General features: G+C 38.1%; 2 pseudogenes; one reads left to right on the plus strand and one right to left on the minus strand.

Moving 5' to 3' along the window:
- On the minus strand, positions 2,700-4,202 carry PIMREGP2 (PIMREG pseudogene 2; annotated as a pseudogene).
- On the plus strand, positions 9,131-9,549 carry ATP5F1EP1 (ATP synthase F1 subunit epsilon pseudogene 1; annotated as a pseudogene).

Genomic DNA, 10,235 nt, shown 5'->3' on the forward strand with positions numbered 1-10,235 from the left:
GCTTTCTCTACGATACACCACATTTCTTGTACACTTCCCTCTGTTTCTGGGCTTCCTATTCTATTCCACTTATCTATTTGTCTATGAACCAATATCACATTGTCCTGTAAATATTATGGTATCCTGTTGATATATGGTAAGACAAGTCTTTAAAATGGTCTTAACTATTCACAATACTTTACTCTCCTATATAACTTTTTTAAAACAATCAATTTCCATAAAAATATATTGCTGGGATTTTAATGAAATTTCATTTAATTTACAGATTAGTTCAGAAAATAGACACTTTTCTGGTATTGAATATTTCTATTTATGGGTATAATATGTCTTGTAATTTAGTTAGGTCTTCTGTCATATCTTTCAATAAAATTTTGTACTTTTTTCCAAAAAGATTGTGAACACCTTCTATTAGATTTATTCCTAGGTACATTTTTGGTTGTTGTTGGTTTTGTAAATTGTATCTTTTCAAGTTACTTTTTATGACCATCGTTGCTAAGTTCTTAGGCAAGCTATCAATTCTTTTATATTGGCCTTGTATTCAGCAAGTTAGCTGAATTATCTTAATTGCTTTAATGGTTGTCTTTTAAATTCTTAGATTTTCTATGTAGACAACCATATCATCTGACGGTCACAACTTTATTTCTCTTCTATTCTAATCCTTACACACACATCTTATTTATTTTACTTTATTTAGGTCTTTTATTATATGATGAATTGAAGCAGTGTTAACAGATATCTTTCACTTGTTCTTGTTTAAGTGTACTTGACAAAAGGTAAAATCATGACTCATGCAAATATAAAATGGGTATGTGTCAAGGATTTTGTTCAATTGATTAATTAATGGGAGAACCAAGAACATGTTAAAATGAGTTCAAAAAATACTTCAGGCCCGTCGCAGTGGCTCATGTCTATTATCTCAACACTTTAAGAAGCCAAGGCAGGCGGATCCTGAATTGAGTCCGGGAATTTGAGACCAGCCTGGGCAACATGGTAAAAACTCATCTCTACAAAAAATACAAAAATTAGCTGGGTGTGGTAGTGTGCGCCTGTAGTCCCAGCTACTAGGAAAGCTGAGGTGGGAGGATCAGCCTGAGCCTGGCAGGTTGAGGCTGCAGTGAGTCGTGAGGGTGCCACTGCACTCCAGCCTGGGCGACACAGCCAGACCCTGTCTCAAACACACACACACACACACACACACACACACACACACACACACAAAATCCTTTAGAGCTAAGGCAGTAAATATAGGCAATTTAATAAAGGAACTTTAGGATAAGATTGCTGGGTTAAATACAAAACTGGTTAATACCCTACAGAGCAATAAACCTTACTTTGAGGTTGTATCTTTCACTAAAGAGAAATTATTTTCATCTGTACTAGACAAATATCTGCAAGTTAATCTCTGTATTTACAGACTGTAAAACAGCACGGTCAATAGAAAAATTAACTAAAGGTGCAAACCCAGAACTGTGCCGAAAGAACACCTGGTATTCTTTTTTGCCCAATTCTAAGTTTTGGATAATTTTTCTGATGTTCTTTATATTAAAGAAAATGCTTATAAAATTTTACCATTAATTAAGGTGTTTGTGGAGTTTTTGGTAAATACCTTTTCAAGTAAGTTAAAGAAGTTTTCTTCTAATTCTGGTTTCTAAAAAATAATTTAGCACAAAAAATTAGCCGGGCATGGTGGCAGGCGCCTGTAGTCCCAGCTACTTGGGAGGCTGAGGCAGGAGAATGGCGTGAACCTGGGAGGTGGAGCTTGCAGTGAGCGGAGATAGCACCACTGCACTCCAGCCTGGGCAATAGAGCGAGACTCCGTCTCAAAAATATATATATAAATAAATAAATAATAATAATAATTTAGCATAAATGAGTAGTGCAATAAATACGTTTTCTGCATTGATTAACTTTTTTTTGCTTTTTCTCCTTTTCGTATGTTAATGAGGTGGACTATATTGATAATTTCTTGATGTTGAAATATCACTTTATTCCTCAGAAAACACTACTTGGTCATGACGTGTTATGTTATATACTGGTGACATTTATTTTCTAATATTTTATTTGAGAATTTTTCATTTATGTTCATAAGTGAAACTGCTCAGTACTTTTCTGGTTCTGTCCTTAGATTTTGTAAGCAGATAATTTTCTTTCTTTGTCTACTCTTTTTGGAAAGTTTTAAAAATAAGATCTAGAATATCTTTTTTCTCATAGACTTGGTTGAAAAATCACTTATAAAACTAATTTTGTATGGTTTCAATTTTAAGGGAGAAATTTTTGACTGCTGATGTAATTTTTAATGGTTATTGGCTTTTTTATATCATATTTTTTCTTGAATCAATTTGGATAATTTATATTTTCTAGAAAAAATGAAATTTAAACATTTTCAAATTTATTGACACAAAGTTGTTCAAGGTGCTGTCTTGTGACTTTTCAAACATTCATTCTTTTCATTTTTCTTAAAATTATTTATTTGTGGCTTCTTTATTCTTTTGATTAGTTTTATTTGATAATGTATTTTTATTTATCTTTTAATAAATAGATTGATTTTATGAATCACCTGTTTTTAAGTTGGTCTACTAGTCATTAATTTCTGTTCATATCTCTTGAAAAATAATTTCTTTCCAAGTTTTCTCACTATTTGTGCAGCTTCTTGATTTGAATGCTTAACTAATTTATTTTAAGTGTTTCTCTTTTTTTTCCAAATGCAAACAGTCTTTATTATGAGAACGCAATGTTATCTAGGTTTCTTTCTAATAAAATGACAAAGGAGGTTTCTTAAATAATTTACAAAGGGCAGAAATTGCTCTTGAACAGGGCTACCCCTCCCAGCACACCCACAGTACTCTGCTTTGGGCATATAAATAGGTACCCATGAGCCCATGGTCTTAAGCCTGGAAATATCTCCTATGCCTTCCTTTGAGTCCCTGGTAGGAAAAGCAGGGATGAGAGTGGGACCCTACCAAGAGCCTTGGCACCGGAAACACAGTGGGTTGAGTTATTCTGCAGATGACTCCCCAAAACCCAGGCACCCAGGTACACAGCTCAGAGCTCTCAAACATCTGATGCTGGCACTTCACATTACAGATGAAGCAAATACAAGACTCAAGGTCAAGTGTGCGATGAGTTTCTAAGCCCAAGAGTCCCTGGAAAACTAGAAGGAACAATTGTCCCCACCTCTGCAAGATCTCCACAAGACACTCCCAGTCTGTGGCAGGCAGTCACTGATGGGTCCAGATGTGGCTGGAGCAGGGGGGCACAGGGCTCCTTGTTAATCAGGTCCTTGTTAGCATGGCCCAGGGGTACTGATGACTCCTGGGGGGTTCCTCCAGGAAGCTCATTGGAAGCACAGACATCCTTGGGTATGAAGCCTCGGTGGTCAGACAGGTCTTGTTTCCTGCAGAACAGAACTGCAGGGCACTTCCTCCGTGGTGAATGAGAGAGACGGTCATGTCATCACTCTCTTCCGCCATAATAGCTTCGTCCAGCTCTTGGGAGAGCTTCTGGAGATGCTGAGTTCCCGCCCCCGACGTCCCTCGGTCACTGTCAGACTCACTGGGAGAGCAGAGGGGCTCTGTTGAGGAGTAGGGGCTCCGGAAGGCAGCCTCCCGCCTCGACAACCTTACTGGGTGGGCAGGTGAGCCTATGGGGCAGAGAGGCGGTGATGCTCCTTCTCCCAGGGGTCTGCGGCTGAGTGGGCAGGGGCGGCTCCAGACAGCCGGGTGCTCTCATGGCTCAGGCTGTGAGTTGGTGATCCACTGCCCTCTGTGCCCCTCTCTTCCTCCTCCTGGCCTTCACCTGGGTCTCCACCAGCCATTTGGTGCCGCTTTGGTAGGACTCCTGGATTCTCTGGGACTTGGCACCCAAGGCACTCTTAGCTGAGGGAGCTGCAGCCTGGAGGCCCTGTGGCTCTGGCTCTGGTGTTTCCAGGCGTTTCCAGGAGGGGCCTGCCTGGAGGCTGAGGTTGACAGCTCTCAGGGGCAGCCTCCTTTGGAGCTGTCTGCTTAGGGAACTCAGGGCCCCGGCAGAGGTCTCCTGATGGCTGGCCAAAGGCTGCAGCTCCTTGCTGCCCTCCAGCTGCTCCTGGTGCTGTAGAGATTTCCGGCGCACAGAGGCCCCCATTCCCTGCCACCAGGAAGCCATCTGCCTGGCCAAGAGTCTTCTCTGCCCACTACACCCTGACACCACCAACACCCACCCGAGCCCGAACGCATCGTGTTTCTCATTTTTTAAAGAAATGTACTTAAGGCTATGAATTTCATCCTTAGTTACAGTTTAGCTATACTCCGTAAGACTTCACAGATAATTATTCATTCTATTTTGTAGTTTTAATTGTTTTTATGCCTTTAACCCATACAAAACATTTGTGCACATTATTAAGTTTTTAAAATATCAGTTTCCAAAATTTAAGCAGGGTTTGTTTCTTTAAAAATATTTAATTGAATCAAAATTAGAGAATATGGCATGCATCTCATTAATTTTTCAAGAAATTTTTATGGCCTTTTATGTGGTTATTTTAAAAAACGATGAAAACTCGGGCTGGCAAAAATAAACAAATAAATAAAAATAAAAAATAGAAAAATGAACCATCTGGTTTTCTTTATGGGGCAAATATATTGATATACTTAATATTTAAATAGCATAAATAAATGAGAGTACTATAGAATATAAATATTATATAATACATATAGAATACATAAAAATTAGATAAAATCTGATAATTTTATTGTTTGACTCTTCTATATCTTAACTAATCTTTCTCCTCTCCTTCGCCAATCTTCTTTTGGTAGAAATTTATTAAAATCTTTCTGTGATCATCTGTTAATTTCTTTCTATAATTCTGTACATTTTTGCTTTTAATAGCTCAAAACTATCCTGTCGGTGTATATAGTTCATGTAGTATCATTTTCTTATTGGATTATTTCTTTTATTTTTGTGTAGCATTTTCCCTCTATTTATATTTTACATGTTAAAATGCTATTTTTGGCATTTTGATGTTGATAAGCCTATGTCACTTTTCTTATTCTTCGCATTTGTTTTTCCTTATTTTGTCTTTAATCAGTTTAAGCATGCATATTTTTAGTCTTTACCCAATTATTGTATAACAAAAAAATCCGCAAATGTTTTGTAATTTTAGATTTGTTTATTCTATTGACAAATATTAATAATTGAGTTCTTGTAAGTGCCAGATCCTTTTCTCAGTGCTGAGAATGCATAAGTGGCAAACAGATTAAATTCTCTCTTCACAATGGATTCCACATTGTAGTGATAGGAGATACACAAGTAGCATAAAAAATAAGCACATTTTATTATATATTATAAGATGATAGGTCATATGGAAAAAATACAGAACAGGTCAAGTGTATGGCAGTTTTACAGTGGCAGTGGGAGTGATTGCAGAATAAATGAAATAGCCATGTTTGGCTTCATTGGAAAAATACTATATGAGCAAAGACTTGAAAGAGGTGAGAAAGTGAGCTCTCCAGGAGAAGATCTTTTCAATTCCTAATGAGGGAGAGTGACTGGCATCTTCAAGGAACAGCAAGTAGGCCAGTATGGCGGTAGAAAATAGAATTTGGGGAAAGTAGCAGGAGAGTGTAGTGCACATAGTGGGTAGGCAGATTGCATAGGGTCTTGTAAGTCATAATAAGTAGCAATTGAATTTGAATATTATTTGAATATAGATTAAAGGAGTCAAGGGTAGAAGCATGGAGAACACTTAGGAAACTACTATAGTTATCTAGGTGAGGGATGATGGTGGCTTCAACCAAGGTGAAACAGTAGAAATGATAATAATTGATCAAACCAATGTTATATTGAAGGTAGATCCAATAAGATTCCCTAAAGTGCTGGATATGCCCGGAGGGTGGGGGGCGGGGGAGGTGGGTGGCAGTGACAGAAGAAAAAAAAATATGTCAACAATGCCTTTAAGTTTGGGGCCTAGCATCTTAAAAAAATGTAATTTCCATTTAGTAACTACATAGAGCATGATTTGAGGGTGGGAAAATAAAGGCGTTCAGTATTGGACATCTTAAATTTGAGATATCTATTATACACCCAACTGGAGATTTCAAATAGGCAACTTGCTACATAAATATGGAATTCACAGGAGAGGTCCAAACTCGAGAATTAAAATTGGCAATCATGACATATAACTGATATTAAGTCATGGATTGGATGTCATCACCATAGGTGTATGTATAAATAAGAGAAGAGAAGTCCAGAGACTGAGCCCTGGGGCACTCTAATGTTAAGAGATTCGGCCGGGCGCGGTGGCTCACACCTGTAATCCCAGCAATTTGGGAGGCTGAGGTGGGCGGATCACGAGGTGGGGAGATTGAGACCATCCTGGCCAACACAGTGAAACCCCATCTCTACTAAAAATAAAAAAAATTAGCTGGGCATGGTTGTGGGCGCCCGTAGTCCCAGCTACTCGGGAGGCTGAGGCAGGAGAATGGCGTGAACCCGGGAGGCGGAGCTTGCAGTGAGCCGAGATCGAGCCACTGCACTCCAGCCTGGACGACAGAGCAAGACTCCGTCTCAAAAAAAAAAAAAAAAAGAGAGAGAGATTCACTGTAAAGACGATGAATTAGCAATAGAGGCTAAGAGAAGTATCCAGAGATACCAAGAGAAGAAACAAGAGAGACTGGAATTCTGAAGTCAAGTGGATAGTGTTTCCAGGAGGTGGGAATGACTAGTTGTGTCAAATGATGTTGTTAGGTAAAGTAACATGAGGACTGAAAACTGACCCTTGGATTTGTATAGGGAGATCAGTTAGGATGAAGTGGCTGGACCAAAAGCCTGATGGCAAGAGGGAAATTGTAGTCAATGAATATAGACAACTTTTTCTAAGAGTTTAATTACAATAGAGTTCAGAAAAATGAGGGAGGATCTGGAGGGGAAGTGGAATCAAGAGACATTTTTCTCCTGGGTATGTGTGTGTTTGGGTGTGCATGCATGCACACATATTTTAAGATGGAATTATAGCAGCACATTTACTACTCAAAGTGTCCCAGAAGAGAGGATAAGTTGATGGTGTAGGAGAGGGAAAAGAGAATTGCTGAAGTCATCAAGTAATCAGGAGGGGATGGTGTCCTGTACACAATTTGAAAGGCTAGTATGAGGTCAAAGTGCTAATCGTTCATCTATAGTCAGAGAATGAAGGCTGGCAAGCTGACTAGTGTGAGCATATATGGTAATGCAAGTTCATAGAATGCAAGTTTTGTAGAAATTTGTTTTTTCTAACTTCTACTACTCTCTCAGAGAAGTAGGAAGCAAACTCGTCATCTGACAGGATGGGAGGGAAGGTGCCCAGGATTCGACAGCAGAGAACGCACAGAACACTGATGTAGGAGAGGAGAAAAGGAAATGGATTCAGGATGTGTAGTTAAATTCCTTGGCGCACTAAGGGGCCATTTGAGGTTTAAGGTCATGAATTTAAAGTGGGACCAGTCAGTGTTTTAGTGTTTTTCCCAGCCATATTCAGCTGCAGCATGCCAGGGCAGTGAGCACAGGTGGATTTAACCAAGGTTGCAGTTCTACCAAGTGAATACCATAAAGGCAGAGATGCAATGGAGTTGACAGTGTATACTAATTGTAAAACCAGATCATGGAATTTAAGCAGGGTAAGGAGAGGAGTACGAATATCTAGAAAGTACAGGATCATGAAAAGGTGATAGGATCAATAAATTAGAGATTCTAGTGGAGTTGAAGGATTGTTGTGTTCGGGCTCTAGAGAGAGTTAAACTGGAAAGATAAGTGAAAAGATACAGTTGATTTTAAATAGGTAATTCTCTGGCAATCCATGTGGAGAGAACTGCTCTTAAGAAATTCCTGGCCAGGCATGGTGGCTCACACTTGTAATCCCAGCAATTTGGGAGGATGAGGCAAGGGGATCACTCAGGTCAGGAATTTGAGACCAGCCTGGCCAACATGGTGAAACCCCATCTCTACTAAAAATACAAAATTAGCCACATGTGGCGGCACACGCCTGTAATCCCAGCTACTCGGGAGGCTGAGGCAGGAGAATCAATTGAACCTGGGAGGCAGAGGTGGCAGTGAGCAGAGATCGTGCCATTGCACTCCAGCCTGGGCGACAAGAGCAAAACTCATCTCAAAAAAAAAAAAAAAATAGAAATTGCAAAGTGGTTTTATATTTGCTCCTGTTGGTGATTCAAGTGTTTTGTCACTCAAGTCTACTTTTCATGTTAATTTCTCAGTTTGGGAGTAAATTTTAATCCCAAGGCAAACTGAGACTTCAATTTCTCAAAAGAAACTTCAAAAAATCTAACTCAGAGTCCTAACATCATGTAATTTATCAATAAATATGTTAGTATGTATCACTAAAAATTATTTTAAAAATTTTGGGACAAACTTAGGACTATTTACTTAGCACAACCGTAATACTATCACAGAAAAACAAAAACAAATACAAACCATCATGAATTTCTTAATCAATGTTAAAGTTTTCAGTGATCTCATATATATCATTATTTTAACAGTCCTTTTGAATCAAGATCCAAATAAGTTTATAACATTGCATTAGTTAATGTATCTTCTATATTTCTTTAAGTCATTAGATTTTTCCTCCAACTTGTGTTTTTTTATAATTCTTATAAATCAGTTTCTTATTTTCCCGATTGCTGATATAATTTAACATGTTTCTCTGTCACCTGTATTTCCTATAAATTAAACCAGATTTATGTTAAATTTTTTTGTGTGGCAAATTGGTTTTTTCCATCAGGAAGACATAGTTCCTGTTCATCATTCCTTTTGTGATGTTAGCAGACATTGATGTGCAATGTGTAAATTTTTAATGTTTTCTTACTATCAAATTTTTACATACTAAAGACACAAATACAGATCAGTCATTTTATCACATTTTGCTGAAGCATTTATAATTTATCATTCTATTATCTTCAACAAAAGAAGAATTGTTGTTGTTGCTGTTGTTTTGACCAGCCTGTGACCTTCCAACAGGTTAGCTGCAGCGATACCTGAACTGCCATTCAATTTTTTTTTTTAATTTTTAATATTTTTGTAGAGAGGAGTCTCCCTATGTTTCCCATGCTGGTCTTTAACTCTTGGCCTCAAGTGATCCTCCTGCCTCAGCCTCCCAAAGTGCTAAGATTACAGGTATGAGCCACTGCACCCAGCCCACCATTCAATGTAGCTTCAAGATTTGAACCAATAACAAATCTTAATCTGCTGTCATGACATCATGTGGATGTATTGGTAACAGGCTGGGCTCAGCTATGTCAAAAACTCCCAGATCTGTGCAAAAGTAGTAAGAAATACACTGATGACTGAAGTCAAAGCAAATGCTGAAAAAGCTCCTGGTAGCAGCATAAAAATGGTGAATGTAAAAAAGGAGTAATTGTATCCTGACTAAAGCTTGAAATGTTACACTTTTAAGGTGGAGATCTATGAATATATAGATGGCAGTTTGAAACGTTCTCATGCCATGAAAAAAAAGGTCTAAATTAAGGTGTGATTTTTTAAAAAGTACGTAATTATTTCCTACATTAGAAGAAATAGAAGAAACAAAGGCATGATATCAGCTCCCTCATGATGTATATTGATTGGGACAAAGAAACTGGTGACTGACCTTTTAGTTGGAAAAAGAATACACAGAGCGTGAAGAACCAGAGAGGGGTTCTGAAAGTAGGAAGATATTGAGGGGAATAAAAGAAGATGAGATAATTAATAAACTTGAAGTAAAAAAAATGATTTGAACTCTCTGGGTAGTAGCTTTACGATATGCAATAAGCAATTAAACTGTTAATACTCTTATTTTAAGTTTCAGGGTACATGTGCAGGATGTGCAAGTTTGTTACATAGGTACACATGTGCTGTGGTGATTTGCTGCACCTATCAACCTATCACCTAGATATTAAGCTCAACATACATTAACTATTTTTCCTAATGCTCTTCCTCCCCCCACCCCGCCCCTTGACAGGCCCCAGTGTGTGTTGTTCCCCTCCCTGTGTCCATGAGTTCTCATTGTTCAGCTCCCACTTATAAGTGAAAACATGCAGTGTTTGGTTTTTTGTTCATGCGCTAGTTTACTGAGGATAATATCATCAATTATTTTACAAAAATTTTTGGAATGGCATACTATATGCTGTAATTTATCTAATCATTTTCCAGATGTATACCTTGGGATAGTAATTTTTAACTTTTGTTAAACCACATGTTAAACAACTCTAACTTGGAACTATCAGACTTTTTCTTTAGGA

This window comes from Homo sapiens, chromosome 4 (assembly GCF_000001405.40).
Source record: "Homo sapiens chromosome 4, GRCh38.p14 Primary Assembly".
In the NCBI taxonomy this organism is placed as follows: Eukaryota; Metazoa; Chordata; class Mammalia; order Primates; family Hominidae; genus Homo; species Homo sapiens.